This window comes from Homo sapiens, chromosome 6 (genome assembly GCF_000001405.40).
Source record: "Homo sapiens chromosome 6, GRCh38.p14 Primary Assembly".
NCBI classification, from domain to species: Eukaryota; Metazoa; Chordata; class Mammalia; order Primates; family Hominidae; genus Homo; species Homo sapiens.
Genome location: NC_000006.12, coordinates 162063023 through 162086847, shown reverse-complemented (window position 1 = coordinate 162086847; position 23825 = coordinate 162063023). Strand labels below are relative to the sequence as shown.

Genomic DNA, 23825 nt, shown 5'->3' with positions numbered 1-23825 from the left:
GACAAAAAAGGTCTGTTCTCTCAAGGAACTTACATTCTAACCAGAGAGAAAAATGTCCTATAATTAATGCATCAGTGATGTAGTTAAGATGGAGATAAATGCTACTAAGGAGAAGTATTTGAAGAGCTGCTAGCATTCTCCCAGATGTGTCTGTGAAGGTGTCCTTTTCAACCTGCTCAACCACATTTTTCTCTAATGTTGTACAGCCTCTCCTTGAGATGCTAATCTTTGTCCAGGGATTTAGTTTTAATCTCCAGTACCTGATTTGGGCTGGCTGTGGGTTTATCTGTTGATAAATACAGAAAAACATCTTAACACATTTTTAAATGTTGTATTTTGTAGTGCTGACACTGCTAGTATGGTAACAGCGAGTCGTTTTGCTCCTCCATCTCTTCCTCTCTTTTCTCTCCATTGGTGAAAAAGGTGTTACCTTACAATGTGCTTGTGTGCCATGGAGTTTTCTACACTCTCAAACTACCTGCTTGTTTCCTCTTTTGCTTATATTCCTAGTCTTCTTTGCTTTCAAAACAATAAATCTGATAACATAAAGAGTCCACTCATGCACTCAGAGACTCTAAGTTTTGAGAGATGCCCAGACTAATTCTGAATTCATTAAAAATTTAAGATAGTTGAGTGCCAACTAGGGTGCCAGCACTGTGAACATTAAAGAAATGCTCCCTAAAGAATCATTTGTTAATAGGATAATGAAAGAGTATAATTTTTATTAAAAGAAAAGGGCATTAGTACATTAATTGTGAGCTGCTCTCTGCTTATTTGCCGTATGACTATTAAAATTCTCGAAGTAACATAAGGAGTTCTATGGGGAGATTTCAAAGCCTTAAGAAGGAAATATTAGGGGGACTAATAGGATGGATAGAGTAGAATGGCAAATCTTTCTCATAGGCACTGTTACATGACTTGATCAGAACCATCTTTGATACTTTATGTTGCTTCCCCTGTCACTTTTATTTAACAATAAAATCTCTCAGTTCTGAGAACAAAAGTACTTTTAAAACAGGTAAATTTCTGTCATAAAAGTGTTTTTCACTGCAGTGGGTGGTGGTGAGAACAGTAAGATGGGAATGTAACCTGCCAGCGCTGATTGAGCCAACCACCCACCTGATTTGAAAAGAGTAACACTCAACAAATTCTTGGAATTGACTAATTTGAGAATACATGAATAGTATCTTAACTCCCCTCTCTCACAGTTGGTAAGCATAGTTCATACCAAGTTGGAAACAAAATTATAATTGGTCTTGCCATTAAATGAACTCCCTTAGTATGTTATGCATTTCTTTGTCAAATATCTGCTCTTTATGTCCTCCATTAAATTATAGAATAATAGAATATAGTCCTGAATCTCACTCGTGTTTGATTTCTAACATTTAATACAAAGTTTAACACACAGTAGATGCATGAAAATCATTTCAATAACTGAATAGTCAAATATGTATTGCTTATTTGAAATCATATCTAGATTGAAAGCTATTCATTAATATAAATTAGTAAGTTGATAATACTTGTGAAGTTAGACAATCCATAATATAATCATACTTTTAATTTCAACTCAGTTGTTTTTAGGGGTAGGGGTAATTCCTTATCTTTCACCTCCATTTATACAACATGGTGGGATTTGTCTAGAATTACATCCATTTCTTTGTGCAGGCCTATGTAGGGTTTTTTAAAAAGCCTATCTCGTATGTCCCATTTGGGTTTTTCCTCTTAAGACATCTGTTTCCCTATTTCCACTGTCTCACTGCATGAGGAGTGAGTCTCTCTCTTTGTGTGTGTGTTTGTGGTAGGACACTGATCAACTAGTCTGTATCAATATAGCAATGAGTGATAATGGAATAACATGTCACTTTAACCTTTTTTGTTTGAATTGGATTTTGGAGACTCTGCCTTCACACTAAATGAAGTTCAGGTTACTGATTGTAATTCCAGGCTATCTGACAGTACAGAGACAGGAATATTTTGTCCTAATTGTGCCTTCTATATTATCATTACCTATTTTATAATTGAACTTTGCTTGGATCATAATTGCCTTATAACTGAAGTTTGCTTGAGTATTTTTTAAATACACACTATAGAGATGCCACAGTTCCTGTAACTACAGTACACTCTTAGTAACACAGAGTATAGGAAAATTTACTAATGTATACTTTCATTGAATATAGCAGTAGTGTAACTTATGTTTGTAGAAACATAAATAACTCAGGTATCTCTCAGATAATCTGCATAGCTATAGCAACAGTATAACACAATTATTTCATTACATTCATAAATGTATTATGATTATTTTTGAAGACTCCTATAAGTCCTGTTCTTAATATCCAAATAATACTAAATGATACCAAAACTACAATTCCTCAGAATGTTCTACATATAGTGAAACTTACTTCCCACAACTTTATTGAAAGAAACCAGCAACCTGAATTCTTTAACTTGTTCTGGTCCCATGGAGGCAGCGTCTTCACGGGCTTCATGTACAGATGTTGACTCCACGGAGCTGCCTTTTCAATGCATGAGTGGATGTAGGTCGCAAATGTTAAGTCAAATTTAAAGAGATTACAGGATTTGGCTTTACAGTACACATTGGTTTGGTGCAAAAGTAATCGCAGGTTTTGCTATTGCTTTTAATGGTAAAAATCTTTTGCACCAACCTAATATTATATTTTATGTTTGGAAAGAGAAACTATGACCTACCCCTTCAAATATTTTCAATAATATGTATCTAATGCATTTAATAGTTTTTACCTCTGTCAAAAACTAAATCAACATTATAATTATAATTTCTATTTTTATGAGAATGCTATGTGTATTTCAATTCTTTCTAAAATTATTTTTTAATTTTCAATTATAATCAAATTATTAGTGTCCCTGGAAAAATATTAATTCTAGTAACCATTCCTTCTTAACATTAAATCTTTGAAAAATGAAGAAATACCAACTTTTCTATTTTTAAAATGCTGTCAATTCATATATGGGTTACAGATATCTGTCTGCAGGTATTTTTAGTTGAGTGTCAGAATTTCTTTAACCTGAAATGTAAATCATTTCTAAGGTAAAAGAGAATGAAGGGTACTGTGTTTTGTCAAAATCCTTCTGGCATCAAGTTATTAACTGTGTAATTGATAAGTGGATTGTGACTATTTTTAATTCCTAAAAAGAGAAGTTGAATCTCTATGGTGATGATTTGATGTTCTATTACTAGACAGGAGGACCTGTTTAGTTCATAATCAGAAAAAAAAATTATTTCTCTTTTTGGAAGTAAAAACAAAATTACAATAAAAAGCATTATTCATGCTACTCTAATAATACAGATGTTGTGCAAGATTCTTATGGTTTGGCTTGATGAAAATGAAAACAGTACAGGCGCACCTCACTTTATTGCATGTCACTTCATTGCCCTTCTCTGGTATTGTATTTTTTACAAATTGAAGGTTTGTGGAAACCCGGTATTGAGCGGCAAGTCTATCAGCAGCACCATTTTTCCAACAGTATGTGCCCACTTCATGTCTCAGTATCACATTTTGGAAATTCTCACAATGTTTTAAACCTTTGCATTATTATTAATCTGTTAGAGTGATTGGGGATCTTTGTTTTCAGTTAATAGTTCAGACTTTGTCTTTCAAAAGTATATGGCGGGTGGATCACCTGAGGTCAGGAGTTCGAGACCAGCCTGGCCAATATGGAAAAACCCCGTCTCTATTAAAAGTCCCAAAACTGGGTGGGCGTGTTGGCAGGCACCTGTAATCCAAGCTACTTGGGAGGCTGAGGCAGGAGAATCCCTTGAACCTGGGAGGCAGAGGTTGCAGTGAGCTGACATCGCGCCACTGCATCCAGCCTGAGCAATACAAAACAGAATAATTTTTTTAAAAGAATGAAATTTATTCTAATAATTTTAGGGTATGATCAGTGATCTTTAGTGTTACAATTATAATAGTTTTAGAATACCATGAACCACACCCATATGAGATGGTAAATGAAATTGGTAAATATTGTGTGTGTTCTGACTGCTCCAGTGACCAACCATCCCCACATCTCTCTCCCTCTCCTTGGGCCTCCCTATTTCCTCAGACAACATAACATGAAAATTGGGCCAATTAGTCCTATGATGGGCTCTAAGTGTTCAAGTGAAAGGAGGAATGGCACGTCTCTCACTTAAATCAAAGCTAGAGATGATTGAGCTCAGTGAGGAAGGCATGTTGAAAGCCAATATAGACCAAATGCTAGGCCTCTTGTGGAAAACATTTAGCTAAGTGGAGAATGCAAAGGAAAATTCCTTGAAGGAAATTAAAAGTGCTACTCCAGTGTAGACAAAAATGATTAGAAAGAAAAACAGCTTTATTGCTGATATGAAGGAAATTTTAGTAGTCCAGACAGATGTTGAAACCAGCTACATTTCCTTAAGCCAAAAACCTAATCCAGAGGAAGGCTGTATTAGTCTGTTCTCACGTTGCTGATAAAGATATACCTGAGACTAGGCAATTTAAAAAAGAAAGAGGTTGAATGCACTTACAGTTCCACGTGGCTGGGGAGGCCTCATAATCATGGCAGAAGGTGAAGGCACATCTCACATGGTGCCCGACGAGAAGAGAGCTTGTGCAGGGAAAGTTCCCCTTATAAAACCATCCAATCTTTGAGGCTCATTCACTTTCAAGAGAATATCATGGGAAAGACCTACCCCCATGATTCAACAACCCCCAACCAGGTTCCTCCCACAACACTTGGAAATTGTAGGAGTTACAATTCAAGATGAGATTTGGGTGGGGACACAGCCAAACCAGATCAAAGACCTGTACCCTCTTCAATTCTATGAAGGCTGAGAGAGGTGAGGAAGCTGCACAAGAAAAGTTGTTCAGCTGGCAGAGGTAGATTCATGAGGTTTAAGGAAAGAAGCCATCTCCATCACAGTTCAAGTTCAGGGTGAGTGCTGATGGAGAAGCTGCCTCAAGTTATGTAGAAGACCTAGCTACGGTCAATGATGAAGGTGGCCACAGTAAACTACAGATTTTCAGTGTAGATGACACAGCCGTCTATTGGAACAAGATGCTATCTAGGACTTTCTTAGCTAGAGAGAAGTCAATACCTGGCTTTAATGCTTCAAAGAACAGGCTGACTCTCTTGTTAGGGGTAATGCAGTGGGTGACTTTAAGTTGAAGACAATACTCATTTACCATTTTGAAAATCCTAGGTCCCTTAAGATTATGCTAAGTTTACTGTGCCTGTGCTCTATAAATGGAACAACAAAGCCTAGATGACAGCACACCTGTTTACAGCACGGTTTACTGGATATTTTAAGGTCACTGTTGAGACCCACTGCTCGGGAAAAAACATTCCTTTCACAATATTACTTCTCAATGCCAGTGCACCTGGTCACCCAGGAACTCTGGTGGAAATGTATAGGGAAGTGAATGTAGTCTTCATGCCTGCTAAAACAACACCTAAATTCTGCAGTCCATGGATCAATGAGTAATTTTGACTTTCAAGACTTACTATTTTAAAAAAATTTCATGATGCTATAGCTCTCATAGATCACTAAAGATCATTACATTTCTCTGATGGATCTGGGGAAAGTAAACTGAAAACTTTCTGGAAACGATTCACCATTCTAGATGCCATTAAGAACTTCATGATTCATGAGTGGAGGTCAAAATATGAAGATTAATAGGAGTTGGAAGAAGTCGATTCTAACCCTCATGGATGACTTTAAGGGATTCAAGACTTCAGTGGAGCAGGTAACTGAAGATGAGGTGAAAATAGCAAGAACAGTAGAATTAGAAGTGGAGGCTGAAGACATGACTCAATTTCTGCAATCTCATAATAAAATATGAACGGATGAGGAGTTGCTTCTTATGGAAGAACAAAGTGGTTTCTTAAGATGAAACCTACTCCTGATGAAAGTGCTGTGAACATTGTTGAAATGATAACACAGGATTTCAGACATGAAATAAACTTAGATGATCAAGCAGCCACAGGGTTTGAGAGGACTGACTCCAGTTTTGAAGGTTCTGCTGCTGTCAGACAGAATGACATGCTACAGAGAAATCTTTTATGAAATGAAGAGTCCATCAGTGCGGCAAACTTCATTGTTGTCTTATTTTAAGACATTGCCACATCCACCCCAGCTTTCAGCAGCCATCACCCTGAACAGTCTGCAGCCATCAGCATCGACGCAAGACCTGCCACTAGCAAAAAAGGTTATGACTTGAAGGTTCAGATGAGAGTTAACATTTTTTAGCAATGAAGTATTTTTTAATTAAGACATGTCCATTCTCGTTTTAGACATAAGACTATTGCATACTTAACAAACTACAGTATAGTGCAAGCATACTTTTTGTGTGCACTGAGAAACCTCAGCTTTGTGTGACTTGCTTTATTGTGATATCTGCTTTATTGCAGTGATCTGTAACTGAACCCACAGTATCTCCAACTTATGCCTGTAACTAACATTACAGTGTTTTAGGGCGGAAAAGAACTTTTCATGTGTTTTGTTTGTTTTATCCTCACCAAAATCTTACAGGATATCGAGAGCTGATACTATTTCTTATTTTACACCTAGACAAACCTGAGCATTGTAGAATTGAAATTACTTGCCCAAGGGTACAATTTCATATATAAATAATGAATCTTGAACTTAGGTACTTTTCTTCTAAATTCTGTATTTTTCTATTGCACTCTCTCTTTAGAAATCATCTCGATTCACCGGGTTCTAATAAACACACAGGATGATAGTCATTATTCTGAATCTTCATTTGAAACTGAGAAACTTGTTTCCATCAGTCTCAGTTGCTGGGGAAGAATCCTAGGGAAATGCAGTCACCAGAAAATGTCCAGCAGGAAAGCAAAATGTGTCAACCTGGACCTTAAGATATATGTGCTTGTAGTAGGCAATAGCACAGAGCAGGTGAGGAATATTTGAGAAAGTTGAGAATTCATTTTTCCAATAAACATAACCTAAATGCAGCATTATACTAACTGTAAATGCATTACTCTCATTAAACATTCCTGAGACCTTCTGATTGAAAGACCCTAGAAAGTAAAAAAATTTTCTAAGCAGAGAAAGTTTCCAGGAAGATTCAAAATCACGCATAACTCTATGTTTCCTTATAGGTGTGCCTGTGGATTTCTATGTAGAGGGTGACAATAAGGTGGGTGGAGAGAGGTGGGGAAGGAGGGAAGTGGGCAGATGAGAAAAGACTCCCTGAGCTGTGTTAGGGACCAGGGAGCATAAACTGTCCTGAAATAAGGGGGAACCATGAGAGGGGTTTAAACAGGGGATGGGCAGGGTTTTGTTTTTCTTTGGAAATATTCCTCCGGCAGGTATGTGAATACATTTGAGAGAACTGAGAAGGACAGCACAAAATTAGTTGACAAGTTACTGCAGTCATCCAAAAGGGAGTATGATGTATCAAAATAAGATGCTGGCTTTGGGTATAGAAAAGAGGACACCGATTTACAAATTACAAGAACAACAGCTAGCTAGAGGTCAGGATTTGGAGAATATGAATTCCCTTTTGAGTTGGGCAACGGAGTATCTGCCTATTCTGTCTGTAGTGTTGCTAATGGTTCCCAACTATCGTCCTTGCTTTTCCAAATAGATTGCTTCATTTCCTTGAGATCTCAGACTACAAATTCGTGTTCCGCTACACCTTCCACTTGACCTTGTTCTCATAGAATGATGCTGTCAGGGGCTGTGGAGCTGTGAACAGCGATTTCCATCCAGCTTCTGAAAAGGCTCGAGTGCTGAGCTTTGGGAATTTCATGTTAACTTTTCTACCTCCTTCATGACTGTGAGGCTATCAGCTGTCACCGCTTATGAGTTCCAGAATGGCAACCTCTGATGACTTCAAAAGAAATTTGAGTCACGTAAGACTTTGTGATTTTGTGTGAAGACAGACTGTAAAGGAGGGTCTGATCTATTAAATTAAATCTTACCTAATCTTTTTTAAAGTATTTATTAATTATTAAGTATTAATTATTAAGTATTAATAATCTTGCTTAGTAACCCTATTCTTTTCATTTAATGGCTCCGAGTTGTGATGTCCCTATCTTATTCACACCAGGAGAACAGAAAGCCTTTACAAGTTTATGGTTTGTGGCACACGCATTTATTCCCAATACATTATTTATAGTTTTCTTGATAAATACCCAATACAGCTCTCCTTTGCTTAGTCATTTTGAGGTAACAGGGAATCAAAATGAGGCCCTGCAAAATTGCCCAGAAAAGTGGCTTTTTTATCAAACTTAAAAATGTTTGACACTAAGTTCTAATTAAAATATAACTGTTTTCTTGGCCTTAGGTAAGAGAATGGTAAATGTCATCTAAATTAGCTAAAATTAAGTAACATGATTTCGGGGAAAGATTTCCTTAAACCAGAGCATAATTTGGGATAACAAGCAAGCTCTGTGTTTCCCTTTGTTTTTTGATTCCTGAATAATATCACAATTACTAATACTTCTATGAATAAATGTATTAATATGGCATGTTTCAAGATCAAGTATGAACATGCCTCAGCTTTCAGACTGATCTCAAGAAGCATAGTCAGATGTTAGAAGCCATGGGATACAACTGAACAAGTGTATCCATGCACTAAAGTCATGAGAAGTTAAAACCGTGAAAAATGAGAGAACGTTGAATTTCTTCAGATGCTGAGAACCCATGATCTGTTGGCTGATACCATACATTTTTTTAATGAAGCCAGTTTGAGCTGTTAACATAAAAGACCCAAAGGTTTATGGAATATCAAATTTCAACTTATCCCATATGCTATAATCAGTTGAAATGTAGGTGTATGCTAGTATTGTGAATAAAAAATAATTTTTTTTTTTTTTTTTTTTTTAGAGAGAGAGTCTCTCTCTGTTGCCCAGGCTGCTGTGCAGTGGTGTGATCTTGGCTCACTGCAACCTCCGCCTCCTGAGTTCAAGTGATTATCCTGCCTCACCCTACTGAGTTAGCTGGGATTACAGGCAAATGTCACCATGACTGACTAATTTTTGTATTTTTAGTAGAGACAGGGTTTCACCACATTGGCCAGGCTGGTCTTGAACTTCTGATCTCAGGTGATCCACCCGCCTCGGCCTCTCAAAGTTCTGGGATTACAGACCTGAGCCACAGCGCCCAGCCATGAATAAAAAATAAACATTTTAAAGAAAACTCTTAATTTTTTCCTTACCTAAACCATCCTGGATTTTTCATTTTTGTTAAAAATTAATCATTCATGGAATAGATAAAATTAGTAGTGGGAGTGGTGGGATGGGCTATTTTGAAAGAATACTCAGCTAATAATCACAAGCAATTTATAAGAGACCTCCTCCAGGTCCCTCTATTTTACTTGCACTAATTTTTCTCCATCAACAAAATAAACAGCCATAAAGTGGCAAACGTGCATGGGGCAGTAGAAGTGCAGTCATGCATTGCTGAACTGTGGTGGGATAGGTTCTAACAATGTGTTGTTAGGTGATTTTGTCATTGTGCGAACATCATAGCATGTGTTTAGACACAGCTAGATGCTGTAGCCTACCAGACACCTAGGCTTTCAGAGCAAGAGAATAGGTCAGCCTATTGCTCTGAGGCTGTAAACATGGACAACATGTTACTATATTGAATGCTGTAGGTAACAGTAATACAGTGGTAATTATTTGTGCATTTGAACAATTTTCAATGAACTGTATCCTTCCATCTTTTGAACCAAGAGGGAAATGGATGTTGGGTCACCAGCCTCCATGTCTGCCACGTTCCTGGTGAAGGTAGTCTGGGGAATCTGAGCACGGGTTTGCAGTCCCAACAGCCTGCCCACTCTCTTCCCTCTGACTGAAGTGACACACTCATCATGCAGAGAGTGTGTGGACGGCGTTGTGGATGAGTGAGTGAAGAAGATGGGAGTTGCAGTTCTCTGAGCAATGACAGGCATGTGGGGGAAGAAAATTGTTCCCCTGAAAATATTATTATGTCAAAAAGTTAAGAAAGTCAATGATTTATAATCAAGAGCTTATTTGTTCTTCAGCAACAATCTTTTCCACTTCATTTGATGAAATCCATGTACATTGCAAGAGCAAATTTTAAGAAAAGTTGGTTTATTAAGTCAAAAACATCGATCTAAAAGGAGGATAAATGATAAAATAATAATTTGGGGAAATTCTTGCGGAAACCTGTGAGAAACTTAAAACGTTTCAGAATAAACTGTAGCTGGTTTAAATCAGTGCTAAGAATGCCCAGATGACTACAAATTTAGTTAGTTTTCACCTAAAATTAAGACTTCCTCTTCTCTCTGATTAGATCATAAAGAAACAGGCCTGAATGATTTTTAGAGGTGATTGGACTTTGATTATAACACAATCGGGGGAAAGATAGAAGAGAGGAAACAAGAAAGAGGCATCGGAATATCTTGAAGTGAAAAGGCTCAGAGGGAAATTTATAGACTAGAACATCTATACAATGTGTATTAAACCAGACCATGTTAAAACAAATTAAAAAATATGTATGTCTTTGCCAACATACTTGTCCAAGGACAAAGTGACTCTTCTTTTGGCCAAATCTTATTTGGTTTTTTTTGGATTAAGAAGGCCTTCCTTGGCTGGGCCAGGTGGCTTGCAACCTGTAATCCCAGCACTTTGGGAGGCCAATGCTGGGGGATCACTTGAGGTCAGGAGTTCGAGACCAGTCTGGCCAACATGGTGAAACCCCATCTCTACTAAAAATACAAAAATTAGCTGGGTGTGGGGGCACATGCCTATAATCCCAGCTACTAGGGAGGTTGAGGCAGGAGAATCACTTGAAGCCAGGAGATGAAGGTTGCAGTAAGCCGAGGTCATGCCACTGTTCTCCAGCCTGGGTGACAGAGTGAGACTCTGTCTTAAAAAAAAAAAAAAAAAAAAAAGCAAGCCTTTCTTTTTTCATGTCTACAAACCCCAGGACAGTAAGGGGCAAGAATAGGAACCCCTGCCCACAATGTGTACGGTTCAGTGAAAAGATGGGGATAAATGTACCTTATAAATACATGGTAGCATCATTAGCTCTCAGATGATTGGAAGCCTGCTCGTTACATACGTGTTTAATGTTTCACTGGGGGGCCTAAGTTCTGTTGCCCTTTAGGACCCTTGAAAAGCACTTTTCCTTATAGTCCTTGCTAAGTCCTTATCTAGCCAGCTTCTTACTTCAGTGATACATGCCTTTCTCACCTCCACCACTCCAAAACGTTGTTGGAGTGGTCAAGATAGTTGTTGACCAGTGGTCAAGATAGTCAGCCCAGATTGATGATACATATTCACGGGCAGTACATTATATAGAAGCAATAGAAAATTAAATACAATGTGGACTTTTTATAATTTTAACCATAATCCGATGTGATTTGTACCTTTCCCTTTCTTAAAAATAAATGCAGGCGATCAAGTTAAGTTTTATGTGGGGAGTTAGAGTACTATACTACACACCAAAATGTGATGTGTTATTCATAAAGCTTAATTTTGAGAACTAAATAATAATATTTCTATGATGATGATGGTATCTGAGCATTCACTAGAAATCTAATAAACTTCTTATTTAATAAGCATAGTTGAGTTCCAGTCATAATTATCAAGATCATAAAGCCAGCTGAGGTAACTATGAATCTTTATATGATGATAAATATTATTCAAATAGATTTACATGCCATGAATTGAAATGAGTGCTACCATCTCAACAGCTAGAAACATATTTTGCTGCCTGAAACTGCCTCTAATCTGAGCTACAGCAAACTTTCCTCCATGCAACAGCCAGACTATTTTTAGTAAAGGAAGCTTGAACAGACGAAGATAATCATATGGTTCTCCTAAATTAAATCCGTTAAGAGTGCGTTCATGTGAATCACCAGATCTGTAAGGCTTTATTGTCTCCATTGTTTAAATTCTATGAAACGGAACAACAAAAAAAATCACTGCTGTTTCAATTCTGCTATCCCTGTGATGTACCTACAGCAAAGCTGTCAACACATAGTAATATAACTGAAGGCATCTTGTGGTTCAGGAATAGTTTGGTGACTGGAAGTTGTGAAGGGGGAAACGCGTTGTTGGCATTTCATTGGTTTAACATAGGTACACCCTGCATGGAGGGACTCGGTAAGTAATGATGGTGATTGACTGTGTCAAAACCCAGCGGAGCTGCATTTTCGTGGAGGACGAGTCACTTCACTTACACTAATGAGAATTATTCTTAAGAAATGTGACTTTTTTTTATATATATACTTTAAGTTTTAGGGTACATGTGCACATTGTGCAGGTTAGTTACATACGTATACATGTGCCATGCTGGTGTGCTGCACCCACTAACTCGTCATCTAGCATTAGGTATATCTCCCAATGCTATCCCTCCCCCTCCCCCCACCACACAACAGTCCCCAGAGTGTGATATTCCCCTTCCTGTGTCCATGTGATCTCATTGTTCAATTCCCACCTATGAGTGAGAATATGTGGTGTTTGGTTTTTTGTTCTTGCGATAGTTTACTGAGAATGATGATTTCCAATTTCATCCATGTCCCTACAAAGGACATGAACTCATCATTTTTATGGCTGCATAGTATTCCATGGTGTATATGTGCCACATTTTCTTCATCCAGTCTATCATTGTTGGACATTTGGGTTGGTTCCAAGTCTTTGCTATTGTGAATAATGCGGCAATAAACATACGTGTGCATGTGTCTTTATAGCAGCATGATTTATAGTCCTTTGGGTATATACCCAGTAATGGGATGGCTGGGTCAAATGGTATTTCCAGTTCTAGATCCTTGAGGAATCGCCACACTGACTTCCACAATGGTTGAACTAGTTTACAATCCCACCAACAGTGTAAAAGTGTTCCTATTTCTCCACATCCTCTCCAGCACCTGTTGTTTCCTGACTTTTTAATGATTGCCATTCTAACTGGTGTGAGATGGTATCTCATTGTGATTTTGATTTGCATTTCTCCATGTGACTTTTTTCTTGTGATAATTTTCTCAGAGTGGGTAAATTATGGTATTGAGTATTAGATTATGAAATGCTTGCTTTTTATGATACCAAACACGTTTTTGTATTGGAAGTGAATTATCTGCCAAATTATGTTTTAAAAGCTGTAGAGGGCTGAGGGCAGGGCATCAAGCCTGTAATCCCAGCACTTTGGGAGGCCAAGGCAGGCAGGTTGCTTGAGCCCGGGAGTTCCACACCAGTCTGGCCAACATGGCGAAACCTTGTCTCTACAAAAAGTATAAAAATTAACCGGGTGTGGTGATGCACGTCTGGAGTCCCAGCTACTTAGGGGGCTGAGGTGGGAGGATCGCTTGAGCCCAGGAGGTTTTGGCTGCAGTGAGCCATATCGTGCCACTGCACTCAAGCCTGGGTGACAGAGCGAGACCCTGTCTCAGAAAACAGACACACAAAAAACAACAACAAAAAAACCCAAAGCTATAGAGGTAGTACTTGGGAAAATTTTCAAGACCAGCTGAGATGTTCTGTTTAGGCAGCCATTGAGTTAACTTGGCAGTACTGAGTAATAAATACAGGAATAGACACTTGCTCTGGTTAACGCTGAGGCCAACAGCAGCTGCAGCATTGTGTTTTAAGTTCACTTTTACTTGAAAGTGGTCCCAGGTTTGGGGTTGTTATAAAGTGAGTAAGCGTGAGTACAATTCTCTCTCCTATCAGACGGTTTCAAGACTACCCCTTGCTCCATTCATTCATTTACTACTATCTGTGTGACCTGTTTGCTGTAGCTTCAATGGTTTTCACATTAATTAGCTCATTTGTTATCTTATTTGACCCTGAGCTCTTTTGGCCTGTACCCACACTTTACAGATAAGATAGTGAAGCATGAGGATGTTAAATCGATGAGGTGATACTCAAGTGAAATTGCATCCTGAACTTAGATCTTCTGAGTCTTTCTCTACTGAGTTCTTTCCATGATGATATTGTTCTACTGTGGTTATTCAGCAGTACCCACTAACGTTTATCGAATATTCACTATGCGTGTGGTATTTTGCTAACTACTTTATCTCATTTAACTATCAGTCCTGTTTGTTACGTGCAATTGTTATTTCCACATTACATATCATAAAATTGATGTTCAGAAACACCCCCATCCTGACTTGGCTGGTAGTGGCCATTAGATTCGAAACCCAGTCATTCTGATACCAAAGCACAAAACCACTGTTTATCATCTTGACATCCTCATTGCTTTGAAATCAGGAACTTGTGTACATTACAGTTACATGTATATTACAATTGAATTGTGTTATCAAGACTAGTGGTATGGATGGAGATATTTAGGAAATTGCACGAATAAAAATGGATTATTTATGGATTAATTGTCAGTATCTGAGAAATCATCTTGTTTGGGATCGATATTCCAAGAATCAGGCTCAGGGCTTGTGGAATTTTCTTCTGTTCTCCATGCTCAGAATACTACTTCTTCCCGCAAAACCTACTGCTGCTACTCATTCCTCTGCTCTCAGCTTAAAACCCAGCTCTCTCAGAAGTCGAGGTCTCTCATCCCTCCAATATACCCTCAAAGAGTCTCAGTATTAATTGCCTGTTTAATATTTTTTTTTGGACGGAGTCTCGCTCTGTCACCCGGGCTGGAGTGCAGTGGCGTGATCTTGGGTCACTGCAACCTCTGCCTCCCTGGTTCAGGTGATTCCCCTACCTCAGCCTCCCAAGCAACTGGGATTACAGGCGTGAGCCACCGCGCCCAGCCTGTGTAATCACTTTTATCCTCCTGACGTGCAAAAGTCTCTTTCAGTATTCCATCCCCACAATCTGGCAAAATGTGTGTCACTTTTTAGATGCTCATTATTTGTTAAAGGAATTAAAAAATCAATGACTTAAAATTAGCAACAATGAATGCTTTTTCAGAACTTTATGATAGTGTTTGGTAGTGATTCCAAACACTAGGAGAAATGAAGAGTGTCTTTGAGAAACTAGAGTAATTAAGTAAAATAGGTTGGGTGCGGTGGCTCAAGCCTGTAATCCTAGTACTTTGGGAGGCCGACATAGGTGGATCACTTGAAGTCAGGAGTTCGAGACCAGGCTGGCCAACATGGTAAAACCCCATCTCTACTGAAAAAATACAAAAATTAGTGGGTGTGGTGCCATGTGCCTGTAATCCCAGCTACTCGGAGGCTGTGGCACAAGAATCACTTGAACCCGGCAGGCAGAGGTTGCAGTTTGCCAGGATCGCAGTACTGCACTCCAGCCTGGGCTACAGCTCGAGACTCCATCTCAAAAAAAAAAAAAAAATTAAATTCAGTAAAATAATTGGAATCCACTGATAAGTTCACAGATACTGTCTGCCCATGCCCATGACCTGATGGAAATTTAAGAGGGATCCTATTGGAACTTTTGGAGAACCAGAAGAATTAGTGCTGTTGTATTGTTTAGGTGTCTGTAAACTATATTCCATGAGATACATTACTGTTTCATGATATTTAAATTATCTAAAGGCCTTTAATAAAGCATATATTACTAAGGTACTTTGAATAACAATAAAGGAAAATCAAAATGGGCCACATTGTCAGAAAGTGGGGAAAATGCTGGGAATAGAGTGACAAGAGATGAGGCTAAGAAGAGCTGATCTACTAGGAAGGTGTTTGGTGCTGTCTCTGCCCCCATTTCACAGATGAGGGCATGGACAGCACCAAACACCTTCCTAAGGGTGGCAGTGCTCAAGGGCACAAAATATTAAACTGCAAATGTCGAATACCGTCCAGTGAAATGCCAGATGAAAACGTGACACGATGTGCTGTTAGAATTATTTTCTTTAAATACCAACCTCTTTTAGCACATCTGAGCTCTGTGACTGCTTCACTAATAGAACATGTTAGAAATGACACTCTGCCCATTTCCAGGCTCAGGCCTTAAGAAACTGGAAGTTTCTACTTCCTCTCTCTTAGGGTAGTCACCTTTAGAAAGCACCTACTGTGCCCTAGGGCAGCGGTGCCCAAGCCCTGGGCCAGCAGGGGTGGCCTGTTAGGAACCAGGCCACTCAGCAGGAGATAAGCAGTAGGCGAGCGAGCATTACAGCCCGAGCTCCACCTCCTGTCAAATCAGTGGCAGCATGAGATTCTCCTAGGAGCAAGAACTCTATTGTGAACTGTGCATGTGGGGGATCTAGGTTGCACGCTCCTTATGAGAATCTAATGCTTGATGATGTGAGGTGGAACAGTTTTATCCTGAAACCATCCCACTGGGTCCCTGGAAAAACTGTCTTCCGTCAAACCTGTGCATGTTGACAATGACAGACAACTAAAAAGATTGGGGGCCACTGCTCTAGGGCACCCCCTTGTTAAGAAGAACTAAGAACACCAGCCCACTGACCTCAGCTTATATTCAGCATCCACTCGGCCATGCAAAAGAGCCACGTTGAAAAGAAACCATTCAGTCCCACTGAACCATCCGAGCTGACCCCACATAGAGCAGAGTCAAACTTACCCAGCTAACTCTGCCCAGCCTTGTGATCACACTTTTACTAAAATATGACTATATTTTCCAAGAAAAGCATGGACTTCAGTTGTTCTATTACAAAATGAGGGAAGATCCTTGTTTTGATGATTAACAAATCGTTAGATAAAATGGATACTCTTATGAAAATGCATGATGTAATCATCAAGATATACCCAAGTAGTTACATGTGAGAACCCAGTGAATACTTGGGCTTGGGGCCAGGGTTTTGTTGGGAAACAGTTCTGCAGTTACACATGAACAAATTATCAACACATGACCAAGTAATCCATGTGTGGCTCAGAGCTCTATAGAACACAGCATTAACAGATTTTCACTGGAAATCAAGGTTGGCTTGGGACATGTGAAAGCGATTTGTAGACAAACCTGTTTTATACTAATGCAAGGTGATGCCATTGCCATTGCTTTTATTATGATCATAGTCTCTTGGAGACTGGCTGGAATTTACAAAAATCATTTTTGCCTCTCTTGCGTCCTGTATACCATATAAAGTTTTTTCAAATGAGGGATTTTTCATTATTCATATAATATCAAAATCAGAAATGAAAAATATTAATAAGAACTAGATTAGGTGTCTTCTTAAGATCTTCTCTTAATTATTGTTTTCCTTCTAATATTTGTTTTAAACAATTTGTAGAGATAACTTGGCTTACTTAGGAACAATTAATCCTTTCTATTTCTTTCTGCAGAATTAACTTCTGTAAACTTCTATTTCTTTCTGCAGAATTAACCGTAGTGAGCCTTTTAGTTAACTGCTTCTATAATACGTTCTTGCTCTAAGAAATCATAGGGAATAAATTCAAGTTAGAAAGGAATATATACACTCATTAAAGCAAGACATGTTTCTGTTTGTGTAACATATTCTAATCTTGTAAAGTTTAACATGCCAGAATAAACAGAAACTCAGTTTCTGGTTACATCTGGTATTTATTTCTTAATATCTCCTGTATTAGTCAATTTTCACACTGCTGATAAAGACATACCTGAGTCTGGGAACAAAAAGAGGTTTAATTGGACTTACAGTTCCACATGACTGGGGAGGCCTCAGAATCATGGCGTGAGGTGAAAGGCACTTCTTACATGGTGGTGGCAAGAGAAAATGAGGAAGAAGCAAAAGTGGAAACCCCTGATACACCCATCAGATTTCATGAGACTTATTCACTATCATGAGAATAGCACGAGAGAGACCAGCCCCCATGATTCTATTACCTCCTTCTAGGTGCCTCCCACAACACGTGGGAATTCTGGGAGATACAATTCAAGTTGAGATTTGGGTGGGGACACAGCCAAACCATATCATCTCCCAAGCTATAAAATGACTTATTTGAAATTTTAAAAGGAGGACTCCAAGGAAGTGTTCAAATATTCACGTACCTAAACTGAAACATGTGTTTATATTTTTGAAAAATAGCCTGAGTACTTGACAACTAATGTTATATATTGAGTTACCATTTCTGAAACTTTAATTTTATGAAAGCTCCTTCTCCTAATTTGTTAAACGGGGCATGGACAGACATGAAGATGACCCCCACCCCCCCGGCCCAGTGACCTCCCACCACCTCCTGTACATGCTCATGTGAAATTGCTTTCTCTAACCAAGAAAATACAGCAAAAGTGATTTGATTTCCCTGACCGTGCCAATTATGTTATCTAAGACTTCCCCTGACGATATTACTTATGATGGATTCAGTGGAGACTGGAGCAGACCCTCTCCTTGTTGACTTGATGAAGTGAACTGCCAAGGTGAGGAAGCTCACATGGCAAGGAACGGCAGGAGGCCTCCAGCCAACAGGCAGCAGAAAGCCGAGGCCCTTGTAATGACAGCTGCAAGGAAGTTAATTCTGCCAACAGCCTGAGAGAGCTTAGAAGCTAGTTTTGCTGTAATGGAGTCTCCAGGGAAGAGAGCAGCCCAGCCGACATCTTGACTGGGCCTCATGGGACTCTGAGCAGAAGTCACACCAGGCCTGCCCCACAGAAACTGTGAGATCATAAAAGCATGTTGTTTTAAGCAACAAAATTGTGGTTATTTGTTACACAGCAATAGAAAAGAAATGCCAAGTATAATGTCTCATATGATTTCTGAGATAAATGAAGTAATGTACCTGGAAAAACCTGTCGATAATAAAGACTTTAAAAGAAAAACACCTACAAAACTCAGGAAATAACTAAATGAAAAGCAGGTTATCAGCAAAGAGGCCAAAGGAGTATAAAGATATTGACATATATTCTAAAAATGTATGTCCGTACACATTTCTTGTAACAAAATCTTAACTTGGTGGTGTTTTCATAATTAGTAAATGTAGTTACTGATTTCCTACCCACCAGATAGGAAAATGTCCACCATCCTGACATGACGGTGACATCTGTCCGACATCGGCCTCTGAAGGAAAGAGATACAGTTAGCAAGGATTTCACTGTAGTTCATGGTAAAACAGTAAATAAAAAATGCTTATTTATTTGACATGTATTTTTTAAAACTGTGTCTGAAAAGTGAACAAAACAACAAATACTTTTATGATAAATGGACTTTGTTACTTTGTAAACTTGTAGCCTTGGACATATCTCAGCATCTCCAAGCCTCAGTCTCTCCATCTGTAAAAAAGGCTGTGGCACTGCCCACCTTGTTTTGTTTATAGGTCACTAGGGATGAGGTGTACATATGGTATTAACTATGGCTTCTGGCAAGTGGCATATATTCGTTACACCATTGCTCTTTTTAGAAAGCTAAGTCATCATGTGCATGTCGCGTGTAATCTGCTGAAATAAGGATGGACTATAGAACACATTTGGTAAAGATTTTCATCAAAATGATCAATGCTTTTTTAAAAGTTTGGGTTTTATGGTCAACTTCTGTAATTGTAAAAACTCATGAACTCATAAATAAGGTCTTATTCCCTGATGTATTATAAGTAATATTTTACTTTTGTCTTCCAAAAGACTTATTTATCTTCCTATGTCAACATCCTCATGTATGTAAAAGAAAATTCTTGTTGGTTTCTTAGATCATAGAATATTGCTACTGTTTTGTGTGCTCCATTGATTTTTCTATCAAAACAAAGTTAATTTAATTGTAATAATAATGACCATTGGATTTGACAGTGAATATCTTAAAAATTCAAAGTAACAGTGACTTATGTAATGTGAGAGTTCAGTTTTTCTCTCATGTAAAAGTTTAGATAGGTGGTTCAAGGCTGCTGTGGCACTTCATGATGACAGGAACCCAGACTCTTTCTATATTGTTGCTCTACGTTGTATAACCTTGAACTTGTGGTTCAAGATGCACTATGTATATTACAAACAGGAGAGAAAAAAAAATGGATGAAGAAAAGGACAAGTAGAAGTTTCCACAGGACACCTCTGTTATATCCCGTTGGTCATCACTTACATGGCCAGTCAGGCAAGGGAAGCTGGGAGGTAGAGTCATTTTTCCAGGGAGTCATATGCTCAGCTATAAATCAGAAATTCTGTTACCATAAAAGAAGAGAGGAGACAACTGAAAGCTTCTGCCACAACATAAAGACAAATGTCTGTTTCACCTGGATAATGTCATGTGATCTGTATCAGTGATTCAATTAAGTATTTTAAGAATGTCTTAGTTCTTTTTGTGCTGCTATATTAGAATTCCTGGGTCTGAGTAACTTAAAAAGAACAGAAATCTATTTCTCACAATTCTGGATCAAGGCCCCAGCAGGTCAAGGCCTGGTCTCTTTGCTTCTAAGATAGCACCTTGAATTCTATGTGCTCCAGTAGGGAGGAACAGTGTGTCCTCACATGGTCGAAGAGCAGTAGAAAGAGAACCCACTCCTGCAAGCTCCTTTCTTAGGGGTATTGATCCATTCATGCAGGTGGAGCCCTTGTGACTTAAACGCTTTCCATTAGGCCCCCCTCCTAACACTGTTGCATTAGGAACTCAGTTTCCAACACATGAATTTTAGGGGACATATCTAGACCATAGCAAAGAGCATAATATATGTGTTCTAATGAACATATATGTTAGCCACAGCTAATATGTGTTTCCTTAAAAGAGAGAGAGAGAAAATAAAGGATGGCCTTTTAAGGATTTGTGTGATGGTTAGTATTAGGTGTTGACTTGATTCGATTGAAGGATGCCTAGATAGCTGGTAAAGAATTGTTTCCAGGCACAACAGATGCTGGAGAGGATGTGGAGAAATAGGAACACTTTTACAGTGTTAGTGGGAGTGTAAATTAGTTCAACCATTGTGGAAGACAGTGTGGCGATTCCTCAAGGATCTAGAACTAGAAACACCATTTGACCCAGCAATCCCATTACTGGGTATATACCCAAAGGATTATAAATCATGCTACTATCAAGACACATGCACACGTATGTTTATTACAGCACTATTCACAATAGCAAAGACTTGGAACCAACCCAAATGTCCATCAATGATAGACTGGAATAAGAAAATGTGGCACATATACACCATGGAATTCTATGCAGTCATAAAAAAGGATGTGTTCATGTCCTTTGCAGAGACATGGACGAAGCTGGAAACCATCATTCTCAGCAAAATATCACAAGGACAGAAAATCAAACACCGCGTGTTCTCACTCATAGGTGGGAATTGAACAATGAGATGACTTGGACACAGGGCAGGGAACATCACATACTGGGGCCTGCCATGGGGTGGAGGGCTGGGGGAGGGATGGCATTAGGAGAAATACCTGATGTAAATGACGAGTTGATGGGGGAAGCAAACCAACATGTCACCTGTATGCATATGTAACAAACCTGCACGTTGTGCACGTGTACCCTAGAACTTAACATATAATTTTTTTAAAAATTGACCAAAAAAAAAAAAGAAAAAGAAAAGAATTGTTTCAAGGCATGTCTGTGAGGGTGTTGCCAGAGGATATTGAAATTCGAGTCAGTGGACTGGGTGAAGAAGACCCATCCTCAATGTGGGTAGGCACCATCCAGTCTGCTGCCCCCATGGCTAGAACAAAGCAAACCAAAGAAATTGGGATAAACTGGCTTGCTGAGTCTTCTGGCTTCCATCTTTCTTTCATGCTGGATGTTTTCATTCCTCCTGCCCTTGGACATCAGACTCCAGGTTCTTCAGCCTTTGGACTCTTAGATTTACACCAGTGGTTTGCCAGGGGCTCTCAGGTCTTCAGCCACAGACTGAAGCCTGCACTGTTGGCTTCCCTACTTTTGAGGCTTTTGGACTCGGACTGTGCCACTACTGGCTTCTTTCTTCCTCAGCCTGCACACGGCCTATCCTTGGACTTCATCTTGTGATCATGTGAGCCAATTCTCCCTAATAAACTCCCTTTCATATACACATAGATCCTATTAGTTCTGCCCCTCTGAAGAACCCTAATACAATTTGATTCAACCATATTCTGCCAGATTCTTTACCACTGTGGACTTTTCTCTGAGCATACCCATGGTGTATTATTGTAAGAGACTTTTAGGATTTCAAATTGTTTTCTGTGGGGAGGGCCCTTAAGGGCATCACATGGGACAAAGAGAAAAGAGGCCATTAATGAGAATTCTGGGGACTCGTCCTTCTTCTTCAACCACATTGGGTCAGCTTTATTTGTTTTATGTATTTGGTTACTATAGACAATTTCATGTAATGAAAGTACCCTGCTTAAAAGAAAATGTAACTTTGAAAATACAGATTTTTCAGTTTTCATTATTTTACAGATGAGAAAATTAAAGTCTGACTTAATTATTCTTGTGTATTCACTATGTTTAGGTAAAACATTTATCTATTCACAGCAAAGCACATAGATATATGTAGGACACAGTCCTTGACTTTAAGAGTTTTGTAGCCTGATGATGAAGGTTAGTAACCAGTTCAAAGCCCTAGGACTGGTTAGTCTTTTGTGTTGATTGGCAGTGACTTGGATTATCTTATAACAGAAATCACAGACTATTGTTTCCAAAAGCTAAGAGGAAATCACTGAAGGATGGGATAGGAGATTCAGTCTATTATTTTAAATTATAGAACAATTTACACTCTACAAAATGCACTGTGTCAATTCTAAAAGCTTCGACAGTTACATACACTCATGTAACTACTACCCCAACCAAAATGTAGAACATTTCCAGAAAGTTCCCTTATCTCTTTTTCTAGTCAGTACCTCCCCATTCCAAAGATAACCTCTTCTGATTTTTATCACCATAGATTAATCTTTCTTTTTGCTGGATTTCATATAAATGGAATCATATAATACATACTTTTCTATGGCCAGCTCCTTTTGGTAAATATGGTGTTTTGTTTCGAGACTCATCCATGTGGTTGTGTGACTCAGTAGCTCTCTTTTCATTTCTGAGTCTGCCACTATGTGAGACCCCATGGTTTATTCTAGTCACTGTCAAAGGACATTTGCTTGTTTCCAGGTTTGGGTTAACATGAGTAAGGCTGTGATGTTAGATGCTTGTACGAGTCTATGTTGCTCTGTGTGTGTGTGTGTATTTTCATTTTTCTTGGACCAACACCTTGGAGTGAAAGTGCTGAGTCATAGTTTAACTATATGTTTAACGTAATAAGAAATTCCAGGGCTGCGCGCTGCGGCTCTTGCCTGTAATCCCGGAACTACGGGAGGCCAAGGCAGGCGGATCTTTTGAGGTCAGGAGTTGCAGACCAGCCTGGCCAACATGGTGAGACTCTGTCTCTACTAAAAATTCAAAAATTAGCCGGGTGTGGTGGCAAATGCCTGTAATCCTAGCTACTTGGAAGGCTGAAGCAGGAGTATCACTTGAACCTGGGAGGCAGAGTTTGCAGTGAGCGGAGATCGCACCACTGCACTCCAGCCTGAGCGACCGAGTGAAACTCTGTATCAAAAAAAAAAAGAAAGAAATTCCAAAACCGTTTTCAAAGTGGTTGTTTTATATTTCCACCAATGATATATGAGAGCGTTTGTTAATCTTTATCCTCACCGACATTTAGTATTATCATAGTGGCTAAAATGTGAAATCAAGTGAAATTGTATCTTGTGATTTTAACTTGTATTTTCCCTGTTATTAATGATGTTGACCATCGTTTTATATAATTATTGGCCACTTATACGTCTTGTTTTGTGAATAGCCTGTTCAAGGTTTTTGCTTATATTTAACTGGTGTGTTTATGTCTGTATTATTAATGTGTCCTTTATATTAGCTCTTTATAAGCTCTGAGATTACTTATTTTACAATTATATGTATTACTAATATTTTCCCAAGTCTGTGGCTTGCATAGTCATATTTTAGTGTTTTTGATGAGCTCTAATGTTCATTGAAATTCAATTTATACATTCCTTTATGTGGGATTAGAGCCTTCTGTGTCCTTACAAGAAGGAAGTTCTACCTGTTCCAAGGTTATAAAGAAGTTCCCATTTGCTTT

The 23825-nt window shown here is 38.7% G+C and overlaps 1 protein-coding gene across 6 annotated transcripts in view, besides 1 other annotated feature; it reads left to right on the top strand.

Annotated features, from left to right (window-relative positions):
• PRKN (parkin RBR E3 ubiquitin protein ligase) overlaps positions 1–23825 on the top strand; it is a 1380350-nt gene that overhangs the window by 640919 nt on the left and 715606 nt on the right. The window lies entirely within an intron of this gene.
• Positions 22444–23643: an enhancer, noted in NCBI's record as "MED14-independent group 3 enhancer chr6:162484237-162485436 (GRCh37/hg19 assembly coordinates)". NCBI's record gives its function as "activates an origin of replication core promoter dependent on BRD2, BRD4, P300/CBP and CDK7 cofactors, and independent of MED14, by STARR-seq in HCT116 cells {active_cell/tissue: HCT116}" and the evidence as "EXISTENCE:reporter gene assay evidence [ECO:0000049][PMID:35650434]".